This window comes from Homo sapiens, chromosome 2 (assembly GCF_000001405.40).
Source record: "Homo sapiens chromosome 2, GRCh38.p14 Primary Assembly".
Classification (NCBI taxonomy): Eukaryota; Metazoa; Chordata; class Mammalia; order Primates; family Hominidae; genus Homo; species Homo sapiens.
The window spans coordinates 64,079,783-64,105,928 of record NC_000002.12 but is presented as its reverse complement, the minus strand read 5'-3'; the positions used below and the strand labels follow the sequence as shown (position 1 = coordinate 64,105,928).

Genomic DNA, 26,146 nt, shown 5'->3' with positions numbered 1-26,146 from the left:
CAGGCCATTTTATAATCACTTCCTCCTCCAGCCTCAAAACTGTCCCTGTTCCCTGCTTCCTTTCCCCCTAGATTGACCAACTACATATGGTAGATCATCAAACCCAAGATTTGTCAGGGGGCGGGGGCAGGGGAGGTGGACGGTGAATGAGGAAAGATTATTATTAAGCTACTGCTCATGCCTCAATGAAGCAGTAAAGAATGACATAACCACATGACAAACATACTTAAATTCAAATTCTGGCTTTGCCAGTGTCACTTCAGAATATAATTCTTCTGAGTCTGTTTCCTAATGTACAAAAATGGGGACAGTGATTTCAATCTAGTAGAATTTTTGCAAGGGTAGATTTAGTGAGGTGATGTGTATGGGATAGCATTCAATAGTGCCTGGTACATAGTAAACACCCAAATATTTTTATTTTGTTTTTAACTTGTTTCCATTGGTTTAGTACTTGCTTACCTTTAGGATGTATATGTGTGTGTGTGTGTATGTGTACATGTTATGGAGAAATGGTCATAAGATCTGAACAACAAAAGTATGTTTACTACTTAGCAAACATGTCTGTTGGACAGGTTCTGCTAACATAATGAGAGTGCATTTGTACATTCAGGTAGCTAAGACTTAACAAATCTAAAAATTCCTTACTTCAAAAGTTCAGCTATTTAAAGTGTTTGGTTCACAATTAAAGGAGATTGTGTTTTAAACAATACATACTGTACTTTTTAAAGGTTGTATTAGCACATGCAAACAGTTCACCTTAAAAAAACAGAATGAGTCATAAGGAGTCAGACATGCCATTAATCAGCTCTTAATTATCTTCCATAAAAGAGGGAAGGAAAAAAATAGAGATAACACGAATCTGTGTATAATCCAAAAGGTTCTCTGTGACTTGGAATGAAGCCAGAAAAAGAATCTCATTTTGTTTCACACACTGGCACCTGGTATGGAGATCAACAGTTGCTCAAAGGAATTTTAAATAATTATAATGTGTTAATAGATAATTAATTGGGAATTGATTCTGCAAGGCAAAGTCAAACATTTGTTTTATAATTGTGCAGTTCTTGCAAGAGATCACCTATACTTTTTTTCCCCCATCAGGTATAATGGGTCTCTCCCAAATGGCGATAGAGGAAGGAGGAAAAGTAGGTTTGCTTTGTTTAAAAGACCTAAGGCAAATGGGGTGAAGCCCAGCACTGTGCATATTGCTTGTACTCCTCAGGCTGCAAAGGTAAAAAAAAAAAAAAAAAGCTACATAAATTAACTTGGAGAATTTGAAAGACTTTTATGTGTTGTTTGTATTCTCTAGCATTCCCCTTACATTTCTATTTCAGAAATTGCCTTTTGTTTGGATTGGAGAAGAGACTTTGGAGACATGGTATTTGAAGAGCTGCCATATGGAAGGGGAATTGGACTTTTAAAAAAAAAATGACAAACCAGGATCAGTGGGTGGAAATTAGAAGGAAACACTCTGTTTCCTTATTAAAAGAGGTGGGATGGGGGACAGGGCTTTATCTAGTACTTAGAATTATGCAGCTGTCTGCCCTGAGAAGTGGGAAGTTCCCACTCTGTTACTAGAGGGGTCTCCCTGGACTGGATGAAGAATGTGATGTATAATATGTGTATTCAGGTATTAGAAGCACATTTGGATGAGGTAATTTTTAAACTAAGGGTCTTTACTTAAGATTCTTTGTATTGGTTGTATTCATTTTTGGTTTATAACTTCATATATTTGAGCATAGTACCTTGCACAAAGTAGACCTCAATAATTATTAAGTTGAATCAAAGCTATGAAGGCAATATCCAACTGCATCTACAATATAACTTCTCAACCCCCTAGCCTATTTCATGCTTCTAGCCCCCTTGTATTCTTCTAACAAAATTTCCAGAAGCTGGACCACCATTTCAGGATACTTGGGCTTTTCCTAGAGTGACAGACAAGGAGGGGGAATTTCACATCTTTATATTTTCTGTGAATTCATCTGCCTCCAATTTTATAACACTGACTTTGTGTTACAAAGAATTTAATATTGTAATGAGCAAATAAGAAAAATTAGAAAGAGTTCTTTGACTCCTGGAAGTACCTGTATCTTTAGCTAAGTAGCCCTAGGATGTACATTAATATTATACCATCTGAAGCATATCTTTGTAAATTAAATAAACAAGAGACAGAAAAATTGGCATATGATGTGGTTTTAGGTTGCAGCTTCAGTGTCTGAAGGTAATTGGCTTTTCAGCTTTGTTTTATATCCAGTTTGATTTGTGAAAGAATCCTTAGGCCTTGACTAGGACTCCTCTGTTACTATTTGGGAGCCAGTTGGTGCAGAAAAGGGACAGTTTCTTTTTGCTCCTTTGGCGAGAAGGAATATACTAAGCAGGTGGTGGAAGTAAACCTCAGATTGATTGAATCTGAGGAGCTTCTTACAGTAGCTCCCCCCGGAGTGCTCTTGACATTTTGGGTATGCCACTTTTTCATTGTTCAGTACTTTCCCACATACTACAGGACATTTATAGGTCCTTCACCCACAAAATGCCATTTGAGCCTGCAAATCCTCGTAACAGCCAAAAAATGCACAGCATATTTTCAGATGCCCCTTAGACTGCTAATACTACCTCTGGTTGAAAACCACTATCAGGGAAAATATTTCTAATCCCTGCCTCTGTAATACCATATTCTGTACTTTTCTTCCTATTTTACTCTGCCATGCCCTCATGTTTTCATTGTTATCTCTTTTTCATCTTTCATCTTTACTAGGCAATAAGAATCTTAGGGATCACAGATTGACTCTTGGCTGGGTGCGGTAGCTCACACCTATAATCCCAGCACTTGAGAGGCCAAGGTGGGCGGATCACTTGAGCTCGGGAGTTCGAGACCAGCCTGGGCAACATGGTGAAACTCCATCTCCACCAAAAATACAAAAAATTAGCCAAGCGTGGTGGCATGCCCCGAAGTCCCAGCTACTTGGCAGGCTGAAGTGGGAGGATCACTTGAGCCCGGGAGGCAGAGGCTGCAGTGAGCTGAGATCATGCCACTGTACTGCAGCCTGAGTGACAGAGTGAGACCCTGTCTCAGTTTAAAAAAAAAAAAAAAAAAAAGATTGACTCCTCCTCTTTAAATTTTGGAGGAATGTATTTGTGAGGTCATGATGAAAATTAAGCATTTAGTCTGGCAGTCATCTGGGATGAGTAGTTAAAACCCTGCGTTCTAGGCCAGTGAGACTCAAACGTAACTTGACATAGTTTTTATTCTCAGTCTTAGAGTAGGTTTAATAACTAACAAACAAAGATTACAATTTCAAAGCACATAAAAACCAATGTTTTAAAATCTCTTTAGCCACTAAGAATTAATTTTCAAAATACTGAGTAATTGTTTCATTGAAAAGTGAGCTGTTTAACGGGGCACAGTGGCACATGCCTGTTAGTCCCAGCTCCTTGGGAGGCAGAGGCAGGAAGATCACTTGAGCACAGGAGTTTAAAGCTGTAGTGTGCCATTTTCCTGCCTGTAAATAGCCACTGCACTTCAGCCTCTGCCACATAGCGAAACCTGGTCTCTTAAACATATATATATGTATATGTGTGTGTGCGTGTGTATATATATATGTATATATATGTTTAAAACTTGTAAAACAATTATATAGTATATATGAATACCTAAATGTGTAGAAAGAAATATGTAAAACATGCATGTAAATGATCTACACTGCATTCTTGAGGTTGGATACCTCTGTAGAGAAAAGGGAACTGGGAGAGACATGTAGGCAGCCTCAATTGTATCTGTAGTTTAATTCCTTAAAAAAATCAGACGCAGGCCAGGCACAATGGCTCACGCCTGTAATCCCAGCACTTTGGGAGGCCGAGGTGGGTGGATCACGAGGTCAGGAGTTCGAGACCAGCCTGGCCAACATGGCAAAACCCCGTCTCTACTAAAAATAAAAAATTAGCCGGGCGTGGTGGCATGCACCTGTAATCCCAGCTACTCAGGAGGCTGAAGCAGGAGAATCACTTGAACCTGGGAGGCGGAGGTTACAGTGAGCCGAGATAGCACCACTGCACTGCAACCTAGGCGACAGAGCGAGACTCTGTCTCCAAAAAAAAAAAAAAAAAAAATCAGAAGCAAAAGTGGCAGTATTAAGCTTTGATAAAGCTGAGTCGTTAGTATAATCTCTTCTATATTTGGAAATAGGGTATTTCTGTATTCTCTTTGTATATTTGGAAATTTGACAGTCTTAAAGCTGTTGTTTTAAGGCTTTATCTATTACAGATTAGTTGCAAATTGAAACCAAGTAAAAGCTTATGATGCCAAACTTCTAATTAAGAAGGATTTTTTCATTTAGCTTCTTTGCTGTATATAATTATTCTCTTCTTTGTGTCTGTTTTATGCAGCCCATTTCTACTTCCTTTGTGTGATGACTAGATTTTTCCCCTCCTTTGATATTATCTTCAACTCATATACATAGAAAACACTTGAAAACAAAACTGAAAAGTTCTTTTTAGCAATGTTTTTAGTTTGAGATAAATCAGAAGTACAGTCATAAGCATTACATCCCTTTCCTTTGGTAATGTTTAATCATTCTATGAATGTTTCTTTTGTTTTTTTTTTTTAAATTTTTTTCTTTTATCTCCTGGGACCAAATCCCAAATGCATTTTTCTGTATCTCACCCAGCATATGGCCAACATTTGTCATCTGTAGAGTCACAAAATGGTTAGAAAACCAGTTAACTTGGCTTATGAGTGAACTTTATAGCTCTCTGAATGACTTCAAAAATAAGATTCCTCTTATTTTGCAAGATTTTCTTATCAGAGCAGTACTATTGTTTTCTGTTTTTATGTGGGATTTGGTTTTGATTATAATTTAAAATACTTAATAAGGGAGTCTAGTGGTTTGATAAAAGAAAATTATGGGCCGGGCGCAGTGGCTCACGCCTATAATCCTAGCACTTTGGGAGGCTGAGGCAGGCGGATTGCCTTAGCTCAGGAGTTCAAGACCAGCCTGGGCAACATGGTGAAATGCCGTCTCTACTAAAAATACAAAAAAAATTAGCCAGGCGTGGCAGCGTGCACCTGTAGTCCCAGCTGCTTGGGAGGCTGAGGTAGGAGAACCACTTGAACCTGGGAGGCGGCGGTTGCAGTGAACCGAGATTGCACCACTGCACTCCAGCCTAGGCAACAGAGCAAGACTCTGTCTTTAAAAAAAAAGAAAGAAAGTTATGTTTTTATTCTGTAACTGCTTCTAAATATTCTTCAGTACCCCATTCAACCCGAGAAACTACTGTCACAGCTGACAGGAGTTATTAACCTCTCTAAATTTCAGGGGGAAAATGTATAAATATGTCATGTATTTGATAAATAGTTTTCCCTTTTTTTAATGAAAAGATTATCTGATTGGATTGACCTGCCTACTAATTTTTGCTATTAACTTTTTCATTCTTAGGCAATAAGCAACAAAGACCAGCATAGCATATCATATACTTTATCTCGGGCCCAGACTGTGGTGGTTGAATATACTCATGACAGCAACACCGATATGTTTCAGGTATTACAACATCTTAAATTTTTTTTCTTAAGAAACGAAAAAGTTAAAAATCTATTGTTGGTGACTTTTGCTGAGGTCAGAGGATTATCAGATTTTTATATTGTATTTTATTAAAATATAGATTGATTGCTAACCCTTATAAATAGAAGTCAATCTAGCATGGTTGAGATGGGCTCCAGAATAAGAATTACTGGTAAATATTACATAACCATTATATGCCTCAGTTTCCTCCTCTGTAAAGTGCAGATAATAGACTCTCCCCTATGACTGTTAAGAGGCTTAAATGATCTAGTACATGTAGAGTACTCAGCACTGTGCCAGGCACTTAGTAAAAACACTTAGTGAATAGTAGCTATTATCCAAAAAAGAAAACAGTAAATACTCTGCATACATTTATGACTTTTTCTACCACTACCTCCCACCTTCCTCTCTAGACAATAAACAATCCAGGCACTTGCTAACTATTTGTATTATCTATGTGAAATCAAACCTTTTTCTCAGCATGTATTTGGTCAATGCTACTCATGCAATAAAAGTATTTTTCTCTTACTTTTTGTACCAATCCAGTGCTGATATTTTATAAACTGATAGATTTTAGGACAGTCAGTTCCAAAGATGTAAATAGAATCCTTGATCTTCTCCCTTAATATTGAGCTCTCTGAAGCTTAGGCTTTTTAAAAACAAACTTAAGTACAACATAAATTGCCTGATAATGTTGCTTTTATAATTATTGTCACATTGACTTCCATTTTTCTTTATTTTACAAGGCAAATAAAAGTGAAAAGACCTGGAAATATATTTAATTTCAGTCAATAGTGAAATATTTCTTTGAAGCCACTCCCTCTGCCCAACCCTTTTAATGAGATGAGATACTGAATTTCTTTTCTCTAGTTAATATTAGAATGTGGGCATTTATTATGTTTTCCTCACTTTTACCAAAAATAAATAAGATCTTTAAGGAAGATTAATGTTTAGATCCAAGAAAAACCGAACACAAAGCTTTAGGATGATTTTTCACATTTTGTTTCACTGACAAGCAGTGAAAATGAATGAGCTTAGCTTTTTTTTAAAATCAAGATGCTACTAGGCCTGTAGTCTCAGTTACTCAGGGGGCTGAGGTGGGAGGATAGCTTGAGGCCAGCCTGGGCAACATAGTGAGACTTCGTCTCTTTAATAAAATATAGATAAATATATATGTGTGTGTGTGTGTGTGTGTGTGTGTGTGTGTGTGTATCTCCAAGATATTTGGTCACAGGCTAGAATTTTAGCTTCAGAAAGTACGTTATATTTATTTGTTTACCGCTTATCTTTTGTAGATGAGGTTAACTGAAATCTTGTGAGTTAAAGATGATAGAGTTACTTGGGGGCAAAACTGAAATTAAACCAGGCATCCTGAATTCTGAAACAATGTCTTCACCATCTAATGAAGGCCCTTGAATAAGTTTTAACAGTTTGGGTTTTGTCTTTTTCATAAAGTAGAGAATTTTCCCCAGTATCATAAACTGATTATGCCCTTTCTACAGGTATTATACCTTTGGAAAATCCAAACATTTCTGCATCAAAAAGACTGTGATGTATCAGAAACTACCTTGATAAACTAGCCAGTCTTTGAGGAATTGTACTGGAAACATTCTAGGATTGTCTACCCTGTAAACTGAACAAGAACATTTATTGTTCAAGTCATCAGATATTCCAACTCCAACTCTATGCCTTGTTTGTCACTATGAAGTACATAAGGGAGACATTACAAGCTGATTACATGCCTAGGTGCTGTACTGACCCTGTAAATCTTAAGCACATTGATTGTGTTGAAGAAGGATGGAGAAAAGACTTTACACTGGTGCCTTTTCATGTAGATCTTTTTATCAGGTTAAGTAGGATTTTTGCCAGCAACCGGTAGAAAAGCATTCTAGCAAAAGAGATGGCAAAGAAGCAAAGAAGTAGTACACAGTGTGGTGAAAGATTGACGAATAAGCTGTTGTAGCTTGTATACACAAATAGCAGGAAATTCGGCTGGATTGGTAGATGGGAGGCAAATCTTGAGTCAGTTTCTAACTATTATCAGAAATAATAAACTACAAATTTTGGATAAGCTATAAGGAACCATTGAGTTTTCTCATGAGGGTAAGGGAGAGTAACAAAAGAGCTGTATTTTTAATGCTAATAATAGCAGGGGAAGAATTATTAACAATCATATTTTGGCATCTGATCACATTCATGGTGGTTTTTTTCTCTTTATAGATACTTAAGTTTCTTCCTTCTCATTGTCATTACAAATATTGCTTCAGTGTCTTAAATATTCTCTTCCAAGACCCAGTTGAAATGTCAGCTCTCTGGAACAGTCTCTTTCCAAATAAGTGCTACTTCTGTTGATTCTGAATATTAGTTCAATCCTTGGCCTATATCTTTTAGCTTTTAAAGAGCCTTTTTATTTGGGGGAATATTTTTTGTTTCAAAGATCTGAGGCCATTTAAGGTATCTTTATTTTTAAGAATAAAGAAAAGGAATATCCAATCTTATATTTGTTAACTAGTTTCCCTCTAAAACTATCCAATCTAAATAAAAAGACTTTATACTTGACAGTTGGACAAAAACACTAAAGAGGTTTATCTGAAAGTGTGCCGATATGAGGAACTTGAGGCTAAAATATGTAAAGAATGACTTTTAAGAGTCTTTATCTTTGTAGAGGGTCAGTATTTTTTCTCAGTACCCACATTCTTCAATTTTATGGTACTACTTTATAACAAATACATTCATGAACTGATAATTTCCAAATGTTTGCTTTAAAGCCCCGTGACACTTGTCACTTTTGTCATCTCCCCATTGATTTCCTTTTTTCTTTCAACTTTCAAAATGAAATTAACTTATTTACTAGCTAGTACCTCTGAAGATATTTTTAAATCTCTGACACCTCACTCATCCAGAACTCTTATCTGGGAACCTTGTCTCTCTGAAATATCCCTAAGAACCAGGAAGAGTATATATATAAAATAAATGCCACAAAGTTGATGTAGTGAAATTCCTTTTCTATTCTCCCTAGAGGATCCCTTAGGCTCTCACCAGAACCTTTTGAAATACTTTTCTCTGAAATAGGTTATTTGATTTCTCAACCCATAACAGAGTAAGAGTAGCCAGTTAAAAGAGGGGCTTGTTGCTGGAAACAAGCATGACCAAAAACAAGGAGTGATAGCTGACAACCTGACAGAAAAGAAACAAGAAAATATATGAAGTATACATAAGACCTCAAAGCAAGGCTGTGTAAGCCCTTGACATAAGGACCAGCAGCCTTGTATACCTCTTGTAGCACCTGAAGACATCACTGCATTTCAGCTTAACGTAAGTGGTATTTATAGTGTAATGTTCTGCAGTCATCCTAAAAGATTTACTTATATATGTTCACTATATTCTGTTAAATAAGGTAGAATATCTCTTTAAATATCTCTAAAGAGAAAAAAACTACATGATACACATATTTCCATCCAAAAGGGTTAAAATTAAAATCTGCAGCCATCTAGAAATCTCAGCCGTTCCTGAATTCTTCATTCCCTAAGGGTTTCGTATATTATTGTAAGTTCTCATTTAATTCCATGCTCTAAGTGATTACTTCATCAGAGACAGTCTGACTGATTAGTTTTCAAGAGTATAGATGCCCCCAGCGTTAAGTATGGTAAACTTCAACTTTAGAAATTTCAGAGACCTAATGTTCTCTCCTTATTGTGCCCTTCTTGAATGGATTTTCCACTGTGCTCTTTGAATGGGTTTATAGGTATTTTTTTTTTTCCCTCAGATTGGCCGGTCGACTGAAAGCCCCATTGATTTTGTAGTAACTGACACGGTTCCTGGAAGTCAAAGTAATTCTGATACACAGTCAGTACAAAGCACTATATCAAGATTTGCCTGCAGAATCATATGTGAACGGAATCCTCCCTTTACAGCACGGATTTATGCTGCAGGATTTGACTCATCAAAAAACATCTTTCTTGGGGTAAAAAGCTTTTTTTCTAAATGATGCTTTCTTTTATACTAGCTTTCATTCCAAGTTACAAGTTACAAGTTGGAAGCTCACTGCTATTATTTCTACTAGGAGAAGGCTGCCAAATGGAAGACATCAGATGGACAGATGGATGGCTTGACCACTAATGGTGTTCTTGTGATGCATCCACGCAATGGGTTCACAGAAGACTCCAAGCCTGGAATATGGAGAGAAATATCGGTGTGTGGAAATGTATTTAGCCTACGTGAAACCAGATCGGCTCAGCAGAGAGGAAAAATGGTAAATACTGAATGGTATTTTCTTAATTAGCTACAATAAACACATAGGATGAGTAGAACTGAATGCATTACATACATTCCAGAAAACTCTTAAATCTATTGCCAACACAGAATACTAAGTCTATCAAACACTGACTACCAAATTCTATACTAGAGGACAGTCTCTTTAATATTTCGTTTAGTAGCCGGGCGCGGTGGCTCACACCTGTAATCCCAGCACTTTGGAAGGCCGAGGCAGATGGATCACCTGAGATCAGGAGTTCGAGACCAGCCTGAGCCACATGGAGAAACCCTGTCTCTACTAAAAATACAAAATAAGCCAGGCATGGTGGCGCATGCCTGTAATCCCAGCTACTCGGGAGGCTGAGGCAGGAGAATAGCTTGAACCTGGCAGGCAGAGGTTGCGGTGAGCCAAGATTGCGCCATTGCACTCCAGCCTGGGCAACAAGAGCATTTTAGTAAACTCTGGAAGTTCATTCTTCTGTCATATCATGTTAATATATTTTAAAACCTAAGCTTTCTTAAACTAAACAGCACTCCCTCTGATCTTTTCTGTTGCCATCTGTATATCTTAAACCATATTTACCTCATTAAAAATATTAGACTTATTGATTAGCCAGATGTTTTAATCATAAGTTGTCTTTACCATAAGGCTAAAAAGAAATATGTTAATGTTTGATATTTTATCCTTGATTTTCAAACTTAACATTTTTCATAACTACTGTCAGTTTCTTGAATATTTAGTGAAAATCCTAGGAAACCTCATTTCTTGAGTAAGGAGTACTTAAAACCAAAACACTTATGTAAAAATCCAAAACAGAGTGGTGAATATGTTTTTCAACTCTTGTCTCCTCTAGGTGGAAATTGAAACCAATCAGTTACAAGATGGCTCGTTAATTGACCTCTGTGGTGCAACATTGTTATGGCGTACTGCAGAAGGCCTTTCCCACACTCCTACCGTGAAGCATTTAGAAGCTTTAAGACAGGAAATCAATGCAGCACGACCTCAGTGCCCTGTAGGGTTCAACACACTAGCATTTCCTAGTATGAAGAGGAAAGACGTTGTAGATGAAAAACAACCATGGGTATATCTAAACTGCGGCCATGTACATGGCTATCATAACTGGGGAAACAAAGAAGAACGTGATGGAAAAGATCGTGAATGTCCTATGTGTAGGTCTGTTGGTCCCTATGTTCCTCTGTGGCTTGGATGTGAAGCTGGATTTTATGTGGACGCCGGCCCTCCAACCCATGCGTTTAGCCCGTGTGGGCATGTGTGTTCAGAAAAGACAACTGCCTATTGGTCCCAGATCCCACTTCCTCATGGTACTCATACTTTTCATGCAGCCTGTCCCTTTTGTGCACATCAGTTGGCTGGTGAACAAGGCTACATCAGACTTATTTTTCAAGGACCTCTAGACTAACAGACCATTGTCTTGCAGGACTACATTATAAATTTATAAGCTAAGTGAGTTGGGTTTTCGAACCTGTTGTCCACGTCACAGTTTTTCTGCTCTGGTCATTTGCATTAAGATGAAGAATTTTTTAAAACATTTATAATAAATAGTAGCAATTTCTGAGCAAAAATCTGGGAAACTCAAGCAAAGGAATTTCTGAAAGTATCAGTCTTCTGAATTCTGAGTTTTGAAAATATATTTTGAGGAGAAAAAGACATAGTCTAATTTGATGCCTTCCTTTTAGTGTTTTTGAATCACCTATCCTCAGTGCTGAAATTGTTTTGTATAACTGAGGGTACTGTTGGTTCAAACTATGTTAGTTTACAGTTTGTTGCAAACATTGTAAAATACAGCGACATGTATATTAACTTTTTTCTATTTATCTTTATTATAGAAAATACCTTAGAATGTTCTTGATAGAGTAGCATGGTAACGATGGTGTCACACCCTTGGTGTGAATGGTAGCTTAGTGAGCAACCTAGCTCAAGGATTTGCAAAGTTAGGAAGAAGGACGAGAGAGCCTCTCTCCCCACCCCAATCTAAATATGGAATTTGGTAAATTAGAATACTTTGTAATTTGTAAGACCAAATTCATACTAATTACCCGCGTGAAAGGTGTTTGTTTTTAACAACATTGAAGATAATCAGGAAAGATTTTTTCTTAATGTTTCTCTCGAGCGTAGTACTATAACAAAAACTTAATGCTAAGAAACATTTTATATGCTCCTTTGGATATGCAATTTAATCTAGATTATCTATTTTTCTCCCATGATAACTAATCTGTTTTTAGTATCAGCAGCATTTGGCAAGTTTATTTTTTGGATATAAACTGTGGTTCATCTGTTCACTGTTTCTAGAAAAAAATCATTGCCATAAGAAAAAGTATAAATTAGCAAGAAAGGAGAGTGACTTGATTTGCTTTTGGAAAAAGAAATGCTTAATTAATTATTCTGTATTTGGCCTTATTCGGGCATTAGGAAATCTAGAGATCTAAAGGGTTGAATGACAATAGTGCCCCCGTTTTTAGCAGACCAGCCTTAACTCTGGGTTTGAATCCTAAGGAGATTGCCACAGTGAGACTTAAGGAAATGTTTGGTTGGCAGATGAGCACCAATGACTGCAGCGTGGAGTGACGCACTGCATGGTCTGTTTATTCTCTAATTCCAATATGTCTTTTGCTTCCAGAAGCAAGAAAAGTTTCTTCTCTCCCCTCCTTCCCACCCTTTTTTCAAAGGCACCACAAGTATAGACAGTTGCACTACATCAAATCTTTTTTTGACACTTGTAGAAACCAGTACACTTTTAGATTAGACAGTATCTTCTTTTAATATTTTGATTTGTTTTCCTTTAGTTTGAAAAGTTGTATAATACTTAACTGACTGTAGCAAAGTTTTATATGTGGTAGCATACCTTTAATTTATCCTATTACAAAACTGTTCTGAATTTTCTTTTGGTTTTTAAAAAACAAAACTTGTTGCTTAGAAGCCATGAATTATTTTATTTTACTTCAACTGTCGAAACTTCCTTGTTTTAAAAAATGATCATTTGGGTTCACTCAGGAAATGCATGTCAGGAAACTTGTATTATAAGTTTATTAGTTGTGATGTATCAGTAACTGCTGTTACCCCTTTTTCAAAGAAATGTAATTGATTTTGAAGTTTTCTAGATTGTCACATGCTTTGTGACTAATGCAAGAAAGCAAGTCCTGTGTTGTATTTGTTCTAGTCATTTTTATTCAGGCTATATATTGTAGCTTAATTTTTATTTGCAATTAATTTATTTAAACTAAGTAAATACTTTTCAAAATACATAATTGAATTCGTCTCTGTGAGTTCATTTTTGCATAATCGAGAATGAGAAACCAGAAGTGAAAACTGTGAACAACTCTATTCCACACTCCAAAAATACTCATTTGAAATAGATGAAGAGTTTGCATTTAATGTAACACTTTAAAGTATCTGGTTCTTTTTTAAAAGCATCTCTTACTAATAAAGGAACTTTGTTAGTGGTTGAATAATTGAGGCCTTTTCTAAGTTAAGCCTTGCTAGGGAGTTGGCACCTGTAAGTTGCATGTTAGACTATTTAAATAGTGGCTTCGTAACCATAAAAGTTGCACGTCCTTCCCAAAGTTGCCTGCATTTTCTTCTAACAGGTAAAAACAATCTCTTCTAACAGGGAAAAACCTGGCTCATTTTCTATCAAATTCAAGTTTTAAAAATTCAGGCAATTTAAATGATCAGTTGGGTGTTTGCTGTTCAAGCAGAACTGTTATTTTGTCATGGCCTAATAGAACACTTTTACTTAGTTGTATTAAGGGAATGTCAGTATTCTGGCCAAGGAGGAGAAAAAGTTGTATTTAGGTCTTCTAAATGCATTCTCAAGAAAGATAATCTTTATGGCTTAACTCTTTTATCAAAGTAATCTTTATATTTAAATGCTACTTAATTTGTTCAAGGAATTAAATTTCCCTTTATCTAAAATGTTAGGGTAATGAAGCAAGACATGAAGGGAAGCCATTCAGACATCAGAGTTCTTTTACTAGGTTATCCTCTTGCAACCTTCTTTGCTTACTTCCCTCATGTAAAAGTCTTCTAGTACATGTAAAGCAGGGTAGGAATAAATAATAATGTAAGTATGTAATTACTTCTTCTTTTTTTTTTTTTTTTTGAGACGGAGTCTCACTCTGTCGCCAGGCTGGAGTGCAGTGGCGTGATCTCGGCTCACTGCAAGCTCCACCTTCCGGGTTCACGCCATTCTCCTGCCTCAGCCTCCCAAGTAGCTGGGATAACAAGCGCCCGCCACCATGCCCAGCTAGTTTTTGTATTTTTAGTAGAGACAGGGTTTCACCATGTTGGTCAGGATGCTCTCGATCTCCTGACCTTGTGATCCGCCCACTTTGGCCTCCCAAAGTGCTAGGATTAATTACTTCTAACATTTGAGTGTCCCACTTCACTCTTCCCGTCTGACCCAGACTGAGGGCACTGGTGAAAGTCCACTTATTATGTCTCTAAGGTTATAAGCTCAACATAACTCTAACACTTTGGCCCTTCGTTGCAATGGATCATCTTGTGCTACCACTTCTTTTTTTGTTTAAGACAGGGTCTTGCTCTGTTGCCGAGGCTGGACTGCAGTGGTGCAATCACAGCTCACCACAGCCTCAACCTCCCAGGCTCAAGCAATTCTTCCACCTCTACCTCCTGAGTAGCTGGGACTACAGATACACACCACCATTCCTGGCTAATTTTTTTCATTTTCAGTAGAGACGCCGTCTGACTAGATTTCCCAGGCTGGTCTCAAACTCCTGCTCTTAAGCAATCCTCCTGCCTCAGCCTCCCAAAGTGCTTGGATTACAGGTGTTGAGCCACCACACCCTGCTGTGCTACCACACTTTAGAGACCACTGGTTAATAAACCTATGTTCCATTCCCTTCTCTGTTTTCTCTAAGCACTGCCCTATAGCAAATCAGAACAGCAAAACTCTGCATCACTGAACTCTGTTATTCTGTCTGTCACCCCCACTTTCAGAATTACTCTTATATAAGTATTCTTTAATGTTTTATCCTCAAATTTTATCTACTTTTTTTTTTTTTTTTTTTTTTGAGACGGAGTTTCATTCTGTCGCCCAGGCTGGAGGGTAGTGGTGTGATCTCGGCTCACTGCAACCTCTGCCTCCCGGCTTCAAGCAATTCTCCCTGCCTCAGCCTCCCCAAGTAGCTAGGATTACAGGTGCCGGCCACCACACCTGGCTAATTTTTGTATTTTTAGTAGAGACGGGGTTTTGCCATGTTGGCTAGGCTGGTCTCGAACTCCTGGACCCAAGTGATCCACCCACCTCGGCCTCCTAAAGTGCTGGATTTACAAGCGTGAGCCACCACGCCCGGCCTCTGCTTTCTTAAAACAGATTTTTGTATACCCACTGTGTGCCAAGCCCTGTCCTAAACCGGGTGATATAGCAGGAAAAAAAAAATCCCTGCCTTCATCGTGTTTGTATTCTAGTGTACAAGATAGAAATAAGCAAGAAAAAGTAAATATATGTATATATACAATATGATAGTGAACTGTGCTGAGGGGGCAAATAAAGTAGAAAGAGGAGATGCAGATGCAAAATGTCATATGCTGGGGCAGGAGGAGAAGTGTTTGCAATATCAAACAGGAAGGCTAGGGAAAGCCCCACTGGGAAGGTGGTATTTGAATAAAGCTCTAAAAGAGCTGAAGAGAGAAGGGAGTGGCCACTTAGAGGGGCATTTAGGCAGAGAGCTCTACAAGGCCCTTGCAAGGGCCCTGAAATAGAAGCATGTCTGGGATATTTCTACAATAGCAAAGAGGCGTGTGATGCCAAGTGGTATGAATCAAGGAAGAGTAGCAGGTAAGGTCAAAGAAGTAAAACGACAGAATTTAAGTGACAGATGGGGATGACAATAGATTATGGAGAGCCCCCTGGGATTTATGGCTTTAATTCTGAATGAGATTGGGACATTGGAGGGTTTTGAGCAGGTGAGTGACTTGATGTGACATATTTAATAGGATCTGAATACACTGAAGGTGGGATCAGGGAGAACATTGCAGTAATCCTGGAGATAAATCATGGTTTGGATAAGGTGGTGGCAGTGGAGGTGGTTTGAAAAGTGATCAGATTCTGAATGTGTTTTAAAGGCAGACCTGACAGCATTTGCTAGCAGATCAGCTACAGGGTTTGAAAGAAGAGGGATCAAGGATGACTCCACTCAATCAGCCTCAGCAACTGGAAGGATGGAACTGCCATTTGTTGAAGTAGAGATTATAGGAAGAACTGTTTAGGGGATGAGGCTCACTGGTGGAGGAATCAGGAACTCCGTCCTGAGTGTTAGACTGAGGCACCTGTCAGACGACATTTGCCAAAGGAAGGACAACTCCACTTATAACTACTATCAAAGTTCTCAACCATTATGATCAGTGTTCTCTGTATACCCCACGCTAGCTTAGAAACAAACAAAAAAGTATCCCTCCTGATGAATGGTGAATTTCCTTTCATTGAAATAGAGAGTTGGGACACGTCTCATGGTTCTCTCTTTGCTTTGGCTTCCCTCTAAGGAAATGAAGTTTTGTTTTCAACTATAATCGCTTCATTTAGCGAAAGCATTCTGATAAAGTTTTTCTTCCTCCTCGCCATATACACCTTTTTCCTTGGCTCTTGCCTTTAAAAAAAAAAACAAAAAAGAGTCTTCAGTTTTCCTGAATCTTAATATTTTGCTGCTTCAAATCCTTTTTGGCAGTGGCAGAGCACAAGTTGTGCTTTGCTTTTAAAGTTTTTGAAAAAATATTTGAGTGCTTATGGAAAACAGAATTCTTAAACCTATAAGTTCAGATTTTAATGTCCAGTTTCCCTGAAGGAAATAGGCCTGTATTTGATAATTATCAACAAAAAAAAGTAATAAGATCGAGTTTTCCAGGCCGGGCGCGGTGGCTCACGCCTGTAATCCCAGCACTTTGGGAGGCCGAGGCAGGCGGATCACGAGGTCAGGAGATCAAGACCACGGTGAAACCCCGTCTCTACGAAAAATACACAAAGTTAGCCGGGCGTAGTGGCGGGCGCCTGTAGTCCCAGCTACTTGGGAGGCTGAGGCAGGAGAATGGCGTGAACCCGGGAGGCGGAGCTTGCAGTGAGCCGAGATCACGCCACTGCACTCCAGCCTGGGCGACAGAGCAAGACTCCGTCTCAAAAAAAAAAAAAAAAAAAAAAAAAAAAGATCGAGTTTTCCTAATAATCGCCATAAAATACCATGTCCATGCATTGTGTTAGATGATGGAACAGGAATGTTGGGTTATTTAGGTTGACATTAAATTGTCAACTCGGCTATGTGTGTGAATATTAAGCCACAGCGTACAAGCATTCCTCACAGCTAACATGTGCGTGTATGCTATGTGTCAAGCACTATTCTAAATGTACCCTACTAGGAATATTACTGATATTATTTTAAAAATCAAAGCATCCCTGTGAGGAACCAACTGTTAGATTCATTTTACAATGGAAACCAGCCATAGCAATGTAACTTGCCCGAGATTCACATGTCTTTTAACTGGGGGACTTGGAATTTGAACTTTGGAAGTCTCACCCAATTTGTGTGTACATAATCGCCACATTTTGTTGCTTCCCCATTTTAATGATGGAACACATTGAAGGAATTCTTTTGCGAGTTGGTAAATAAGTATGATTTCTGGCACATGACAGATATTCGAAAACTATTTCTTGGATGATTGAACAAAACTGAGAACTCTGGACCTTTAAGCTACTTAATACTGAGTAGAAGCATTAATAAAAATAGTCAGAAGAATAAAGGTTACATACAAGCTATTATTTGATCAGAAAATATGCTTTCATTGGCTGAAAAATAGGAAGGGAAAAGGTGAAGATACTACAAAAAGTGGCACTAACTGGAAAGTTGACAAGGCAACAAGAAGAAAATCGATGGTGCCAGAATAGAACAAAAGGATTGCCCTGGAGGAAAGAGAAGAAATATCAATGACAGCCAAAAAGGATGTCATCCAGACATTCAAATTTTTAAGAACCTATTTTAATGAGGAAAGGCACAACAAGCAGCCAATATTTAAAGGGAAAATTAAGATTTCCTGAAGTTATATCGTATTACTGTATAACTATTAATAAAAATAATAAAATATAAACTAGAGAGGATCTTGGACATCAAGTTACAGATGAGGAAATGAAGGCCAGGATGAACTGATTACTGATTGACAGATCTGGTATTAGAACTTCCATGCCTATGTCTATCCTCCAAGACTCAGTTATATTTCCACGTTTTGTTTGTTGAAGCAGAGGTAAGAACATTGCATTTTAAGTTTTTGTTTTTAAATTATAAGTGTCTGCAGAGTAAAACTATCAACTCTTGTTGTCATGTAAACAATGATTCCCAAATGTAAGGAATGATCTGCTTCAGATTTCATTTAACTAAAAGGCTGCTTAGTTTGGAAATGAAAGACAAAAGCAGGGAAAGAGAATCGAGAGTTGTCCAGTAGACTCACTTACAGTCCTTTGGTATGCTATATAAATCATTATAAATCATTCAGCTAATATGAGTGCTCATTCAATGACAAGGCTCTTATTTTACTCTACTATTTGTTATGGAGTTAGGACAGTTATTTTGCCTAGCATACCTCTGCAGGAATGCAATGTATTCAGATACTGTTCACTTTCAATTGGCTTGTCAAATGACCTTTGGGAAATTAGTTATTTGAAATGGAGATGGTAATGTTTTATTAAAATGTTAAAATCACTATACTATCAAGCAATTCAAAAAAATCTTTCTCAATTCACAAAGTAGTTGAACAATAGTAACCTGAACCATAGCGACCATAAAGTTGTCTAAATTTGGGGCCTGGCGCAGTGCCTCACGCCTGTAATCCTAGCACTTTGGGAGGCCGAGACGGGGGGAGGGTCACCTGAGGTCAGGAGTTCAAGACCAGCCTGGCCAACATGGTGAAACCCCGTCTCAACTTAAAAAAATAGGAAAATTAGTGAGGCATGGTGGTGGGCACCTGTAATTCCAGCTACTTGGGAGGCTGAGGCAGGAGAATCACTTGAACCTGCGTGGCGGAGGTTGCAGTGAGCCGAGATCACACCACTGCACTCCAGCCTGGGCGACAGAGCAAGACTGTCTCAAAACAAAAAACAAAGTTGTCAAAATCTGGAATCGTGAGGGGCAGGAGTTGAATTGGACCAGGTGTATAGGGACAAGAGAATGAACGGTTCACACAGGCTGTCTGCTATCTACAGCCAGGAGCTCCCAAAGTAGTATGGGCTCAGGTGGCAGCTGCGGAGGGGTAGTGGGAGGAATCCCCTACTGCGAGTCTTCCCAAGTTGTTTTGCACAGGGGTTGGGGAAGAGAGAACAAGCAGTTTTTTGGAGATTGGTCTCTCTCCCCAACTCCCATCTCCCTCTTTTTCTCTGTCTCCCTCTCCTCTCTCATAAACACACCCACCAAAGAAATCCTCCAAATTCTGGAATAAGTATAGCTTCTCAAGGTGACTAGGTTGAAAGAAACAGTGTTCACTTGAGTGTGTAAATTCTAACATGTTTCTTAGTGTCATTTCTATATTAGTCATACTGCATGAATGCAAATGTTGATTCTATTTTTCATTGATTTTATTCAAAGAACTCAACTGTGACAGGAATCCCTGAATCAAGTATACTATGCAAAGTTGGTATCTTGTTGCAAAGGTAATACAACTGTGAAGTGATACTTGTTATGATGAAATTAAAGTCAAAGATATGACTCTTGGGATGTAACCTTTTGCAGAGAAGCATTAAAAGAATGTTATTCTGCTTTGGTATATGCTATAGGACTTTTAAAGTTTGAGAGTTAACAATCAAGAGTTTCTTTGCAGCTGCTTTTATGGTTTCATTATTGCTACTGATTTCAAATATAGCCGTATTTATTTACCAAAGTGTTTTAATTCCTCTTTAAATACAAAAGGACCATTGAAAATGTTGTCTGGGTGGAATTTCACAAATACAAGGAATTCTTCAGACAAGGCATGGGTCCAAGCCTTAATCCAGTCTGGCCTCAGATACCAGTCCTTAAATGTTCCTTTATCAAAGTAGGTAACAATGGGCAGTTATTCACTGTAAATAAACTAGGGACTGAGTGAGGGGAGTTAGAAAATATCAAGATAAGCAGTTTGCCCTTCGGAGAGGACTCAGTTGTACTGAAGCCAGCATTTCCTATCATTTTGTAACATACTTTTATTTTTAACTCCTTGGCTCTGTGGTCATGAATCTCATTACCTACCATTCTATGGGAACAAAGTAATTCAACCCTTTGGCATCAATGAATTAATACTTCTTCTACCCTATTTTAGTTCCTTGGGTCTTTGGTGGTGGCCCTATGTATGGAATTAGACTTGCAACAGTAGATGGTCTCAGACTAACAAATTTACAGCCTCTTCATTTTGGGAGCTCAGTGGGCTCTTTGAAATAAAACAAAATCGGAGCTTTTTTTTTTTTTTTTGAGATGAAGTTTTGCTCTGGTTGCCCGGGCTGGAGTGCAGTGGCGCAATCTCAGCTCACCACAATCTCTGTCTCCCGGGTTCAAACAATTCTCCTGCCTCAGCCTCCCAAGTAGCTGGGATTACATGCATGTGCCACCATGCCAGGCTAATTTTGTATTTTTAGTAGAGACAGGGCTTCTCCATGTTGGTCAGGCTGGTCTCAAACTCCTGACCTCAGGTGATCCACCCAACTCGGCCTCCCAAAGTGCTGGGATTACAGGCGTGAGCCACTGTACCCAGCTGGAGCATCTTAAATGTATTTTAAAGTTATCCTCAGTCTAAGGAGCTTTTTAATCATTCAATGGCTAATGGAAAGGATAATCCAAATTATCTGTAGCTGAAACACTTTTGAAAGGATATATAGTTTGGAGGACAGAGTACAGAGCAATGACCCAACATATCAAATTCTCTAACAACAAATTCCAAGGAATTTGTTCCTATTAGCTTGCATTGGAATGTAATTCTGTGTTGATCTGTGACACTAGTTCAAACATCTTTTTGATCTGCAAAAATGTTTTGTCATAATGGGAATTAAAATAGAAAGTTGATCTTCACCTTTTCATTCATTCCCTCATTACGATGAGTTAAGCCTGCTGACCAATGAAATGTCCTACAAAATAGGAGCAACATGAGCAAAATAATTGACATAACAAGGAGAAATACACACTTTTACTCTGAGAATATTACATTAATTTGACCTTTGTCATTATTGTTGTTTGTTATGACTGACATTTTGGACTGCTGATTAACCTGGATTTCCAGATATCCTTGGCTTGTAAGTACATCTGTAACCACAGGACCCAGCATCTACTAGAGAGGGTTTGCAACAAGAAGCTCATACCTCACTGAGTGAAAATATTTCAAAAACATCTATTTTGTCACTTTGTTTCTTTAAAGTTTCCCTTTATGTGGAAAGGTGATAAAAGGCTTTATTTAGAGAACTAGGTATAATTAAACAAAAGGGAATCTTATGTAGTGACACTATTTTCCTGGCTGGAAAAAACACATTGACTCTTAAGGTTCTTTATGTGCTTCTGTTTGCATGGTTCATTTCCAGCTAACACAGCATTTCTGAAATGCCAACATTTGCTTTTTGTTTTCTGGTGTTGTGTCTAAGCAAACTAATATGGGTGCCAAGAAGATAATGCTGGGTTTTTAATGGAATGCCAGATCATCAGTTCTTTTTGAAGTGGGGTTTGAGTTAGTTATTATGTTAATAAATCTAAATTTTGATCCCCTTTGTTGACCAATTATTTTCTCCTGAAGAAAAACTATCCTATGACCAGCAATCTTGCACATATATATTGGGGCTAATATATACTGGAATGAATAGATAAAAGAGTGTGAATAATGCAATACATCACAATCAATCTGATTAGAAAAACAGCTCAGAGCAAAATTATCTGATAATTTAAGATACCAAAATTCTTTTTTTTTTTTTGGTATTTGTATTGGAATTTAATTATATATTGACCCATGACAGCTTTCCATTAGCCATTACCAAAATCTCTTTTTTGGTATTTTAAATTAGTAGCATGATTGGTACCTGTATGATTGGAAGTTAAACTATCAGCTGTTATTCTGCTTCTTAAAGGCTAGGGGGGCTTGTCAATAGAGTAAGGGTCTCCCTCTCTTAAACGGAGGTCTGTCCAAGAGAATAAAATACTTACAGGAGACCTGAGGAGATTATGAGAAATAAGATGTCTTGCATACAGTCAGCCTGCAGTTAAATATTCATTGAATATTTGAGCAGATTAGAACTGGAGCCTTCATCCTTCATGTGTTGAAGAACTATTTTTAATTTTCTAGCAACCTTAAGATCACTGGATAGGAGAGGAACTCCACTCTTGAGTGGAGAAGTAAAGTAGGAAGAGTCTAGACTGACAGTTGTGATAAGCCTTTTTCTCTCTCCTTGTCCTGTGGGACTCCTGGGGAAACCTCAAACACAGAGGCCTGTTGACAACTTAAATTGGAAAGCAAGAGCTGATTTTAATTTGATCTTTTTTTTCTGCTTGAGTATCACAATTTACAATGCTCTGGTAAAATTAGTGATTTTTTAAAAAATCATTAAAGATGTCTAGAGGGGAATTCTTTCTTTTCAGTCACCATGAGAGTGGTTGTTATATAGAATATTTCTTAATTGCCTGACTACCCAGACATGTTTATCCACTAGGAAAGTGAAGCATGTATTAAAAACTGAATACCTACTTTGGGTTCATTTATTCAGTAAAAATATATTGAGCTGAGAGGCTCTGGAAATACAAAGATGAATAAAATAGACATGGTCCTTACTCTTACAATGCTGCAGTCTTGCAGAAGGTAAATAAGCAATTACAATATGGTGTAAGTGCTATAGCAGAAGGAAAGATCTTTGGAGAACAATTTGGAAGTTCCTCAAAAAACTAAAAATAGAACAACCAGATGATCCAGTAATCCCACTGCTGGGTATATACCCAAAATAAAGGAAATCAGTATATTGAAGGGATATCTGCACTCCCATGTTTACTGCAGCACTGTTCACGATATCCAAGATTGGAAACAACCTACATGTCCACCAACAGATTAATGGATAAAGAAAATGTGGTCCCCATACACAATGGAGTACTAATCTGCCATAAAAAAAGAATGAGCTCCTTTCATTTGCAACAACATGGATGGAACTGGAGGTCATTATGTTAAGTGAAGTAAGCCAGGCACAGAAAGACAAAGTTTGCATGTTCTCACTTATTTGTGGGAGCTAAAAATTAAAACAGCTGAACTCATGGAAATAGTAGAAGCATGGTTACCAGAGTCTGGGAAGGGTAGTGGGGATATGGGGGAGAAGTGAGGATGGTTAATGCGTACAAAAAATAGAAAGAATGAATAAGACCTAGTATTTGCTAGCACAACCTGGTGACTATAGTAAAAAATAATTGTACATTTAAAAATAACTAAAATAGCAAAATTGGATTGTCTGTAACACAAAGAATAAATGCTTGAGGTGATGGATACTCCATTTACCCTGATACAATTATTACATATTAACACGCCTGTATCAAAGTATCTCATGTACCCCATAAATCCATATACCTATTATGTACCCACAAAAATTAAAAATTAATTTTAAAAAAGAGGAAGAAGACCTTTGGGAGCACATAGAAGGGGCACTGAACCAGACTCTGGAAATCAGAGAAGATGCTGTAAAAGGAAATGTTTGGAATCAGGGACTTGAAGGAAAAGGGAGATAGCTAAAGATGGGGGCAGAGTGGCAGGTGGGGACAGTGGGAAGAGGATTCCCAGCAGAAGGAATGTCTTAGTTTTTGCAGTGACTCAGCACCAATAGAGAGTAGTGCATACTTGAGAAAATGGAATTGAATGTGGGTAAATGGAGAGTAAAAGGAGGTGAGTGGCAAGAAAAGAGGCCAAAGACACAGGCAGAAGACACATGGACAGGCTTTTGTAAGCCAAGTCTAGATGTTGAGCTTTATCCTATGGGCCATAAGGAATCAGAGAATGGTGTGATTAAATCTCAATGCTTCAGGCCAGGCGCGGTGGCTCACACCCATAATCCCAGCACACTGGGAGCCGAGGCGGGTGGATCACCTAAGGTCAGGAGTTCAAGACCAGCCTGGCCAAGACGGTGAAACCCTGTCTCTACTAAAAATACAAAAATTATCCAGGCGTGGTGGCGGGCACCTGTAATGCCAGCTACTCAGGAATCTGAGGTAGGAGAATCACTTGAACCTGGCAGGCGGAAGTTGCAGTGAGCAGAGATCACACCACTGCACTCCAGCCTGGGTGACAAAAGGGAAACTCTGTCTCAAATAAATAAATTACCACGTTTGAAAGATCACTGTGGCTGTACTGTGGAGAATGGGTGTGGAAGACTGGAGGCAGAGAGACAGAAAGTTATAGAATAGCCCAAGTGAACGATGATGGGGAACTGGAATAAGGGAAGTAGCAGTAGGAATGGAGAGAGATGAATGGGTCTGAAACATATGTAACATATGTAAAAGTAAACTTGGCAGGGCTTTATGATTGTTTAGATGAAAGTGTATCCGTGACAGGCTTAGGCAATTAGATGGATGGTGGTTTTGATATAGGAGTTAAAAAGAAATTATTTAGGCAGATAGTGACAGTAAGAAAGTCCTAGATAAGGTTTTCCTTTTAATGAAAAGCAGCCCACAAATCATTTTCTTTTCTAACAGAGTGCAGCCTGTAAAATAAAGCTGCAGACATACAAAGGCAAGCTGGAAGCTTGCACGGGTGAATGCCGGCAGCTGTGCCAATAGGGAAAGGCTACCTGTGGGTTGGCATGTTCAACATGGCGGCTCCATCTTCCGTTTTTCTTGCCGACCACATGTACAGTAAGGAGCAGAAAACATGGCGCCGGCCAAGTAGAAAATTCCTTTGCATGATACGAGGATTAGGGTGGGGTGATTAGGATTAGACTGAGATTAACATTTAAGGGGTAGGATGAAAGAAAAGAAACCCATAACAAAGACCAAGGGGAAGAGCTGTCAGAAAGAAAAAGAGATAGAAAACCAGAAGAGATCAATAGCACACAAGCCAAGAGACAAGAATCATTTAAGGAGAGATGGTTTGCGATGTCACATTACTGAGGAGCAAAGTAAGCTGAGGACTGAGAAATGTCCAGTAGATTTAGCTACAAGGGAAGTTGGCAACCTTGACAGCATTTTCATGGAGTGACAGAAGCTGAAGCCATACTTCAGAAGTTTTGAGAAGACCCTTAAGGATGAAGAAGTGGACTCAGAAAAGTCAAGTAGTTTGACTATGGTTGGGAAGAAAAGGAGAGGGAGAGGGCTCACTGAAGCTTCCACCTCCTGGGTTCAAGTGATTTTCCTGTCTCAGCCTCCCAAGTAGCTGGGACTACAGGCACCTGCCACCACACCCGGCTAATTTTTTGTATTTTTTAGTAGAGACGGGGTTTCACCATGTCAGCCAGGATGGTTTCGATCTCCTGACCTCATGATCCGCCCGCCTCAGCCTCCCAAAGTGCTGAGATTACAGGCGTAAGCCACTGCGCCCAGCCTGAAGGGGTAAGTTCTTATCTAATGGTTTCTTATATGTTCCCTCTGAAATAAGCAGAGGTCAACTGCTGAGAAGTGGGAGAAGGAGAAGTGAAAAGTTTGAGGAGCATAAATGCCTGAAGTGGCTACCAGAGAGAATTGGAGAGACTGCTATGCAGCACTGAGGGCCCAGTTGAGGTTGGTGAACATACCTGATATCGGAACTGATCTGCTTAGTCATGTAATTTGATCATCAGCATTTAGAACTCCCCATATTGGAGTGTGAGACAGTTAGATTAGCCCAATATTATCATATTAGTTGTGTTTGGCTACAAATGACAGAAAAGCCCAAGTAAGAATTGCTTAAATGGGAAAGAGGTTAATTGCTCTCTTACATAAAAATCCAGGTAGATGAATAAGGCCAGAATGGAGGTCTATGATGTCAGGAATCCAGATTATTTGTAGCTCCTTGCTTTGTCATCCTTGGTGTTTGGCTTCTATGTCATAGTTCAATACAATTTCTCCAGCTCCATTCATTTTGTTTGCATTCAGCCAACAGGAGGAAGGATCAGAAGAGGGGCATATATGAAACTGCCTTTGCAAAAATTATAACAGTGAGAAAATATGACAGTAAAGGATATCTGACCTAACCCGACTCCATCTTGCCTTTAACCTCCAAGCTGCCTGTCAGGCCTCTAAGCCCAAGCTAAGCCATCATATCCCCTGTGACCTGCACGTACACATCCAGATGGCTGGTTCCTGCCTTAACTTATCTTATCTCTGCACCCCAATCCCTTATTTCCGTGCCCTGACCTCTTTGCGCCTCAACCCCTTAT

The 26,146-nt window shown here is 38.6% G+C and overlaps 1 protein-coding gene across 7 annotated transcripts in view, besides 3 other annotated features; it reads left to right on the top strand.

The window, feature by feature from the left end:
* The window catches only part of PELI1 (pellino E3 ubiquitin protein ligase 1), a 51,769-nt gene extending 38,492 nt beyond the window's left edge, over positions 1–13,277 (top strand). For 5 of the 7 annotated variants that reach the window (NM_020651.4, XM_017004520.2, XM_047445137.1 and 2 more), the window contains 5 exons: positions 1,099–1,228; positions 5,430–5,531; positions 9,319–9,516; positions 9,616–9,804; positions 10,661–13,277. In NM_020651.4, the coding sequence (NP_065702.2) occupies positions 1,099–1,228; positions 5,430–5,531; positions 9,319–9,516; positions 9,616–9,804; positions 10,661–11,227 (1,186 nt within the window). In that variant the 3' untranslated portion in view covers positions 11,228–13,277. Of the gene's footprint in view, positions 1–1,098; positions 1,229–1,331; positions 1,376–5,429; positions 5,532–8,651; positions 8,868–9,318; positions 9,517–9,615; positions 9,805–10,660 lie in introns of those variants that run through there. The other 2 variants (XM_047445140.1, XM_011532997.3) reach the window with 2 other exon arrangements.
* Positions 718–918: a silencer, noted in NCBI's record as "peak3731 fragment used in MPRA reporter construct". NCBI's record gives its function as "represses an SCP1 promoter by STARR-seq MPRAs in K562 erythroleukemia cells {active_cell/tissue: K562}" and the evidence as "EXISTENCE:reporter gene assay evidence [ECO:0000049][PMID:32103011]".
* Positions 18,996–19,185: an enhancer, noted in NCBI's record as "active region_15881". NCBI's record gives its function as "activates an Ori minimal core promoter by ATAC-STARR-seq in GM12878 lymphoblastoid cells {active_cell/tissue: GM12878}" and the evidence as "EXISTENCE:reporter gene assay evidence [ECO:0000049][PMID:35858748]".
* Positions 24,931–26,130: an enhancer, noted in NCBI's record as "MED14-independent group 3 enhancer chr2:64306933-64308132 (GRCh37/hg19 assembly coordinates)". NCBI's record gives its function as "activates an origin of replication core promoter dependent on BRD2, BRD4, P300/CBP and CDK7 cofactors, and independent of MED14, by STARR-seq in HCT116 cells {active_cell/tissue: HCT116}" and the evidence as "EXISTENCE:reporter gene assay evidence [ECO:0000049][PMID:35650434]".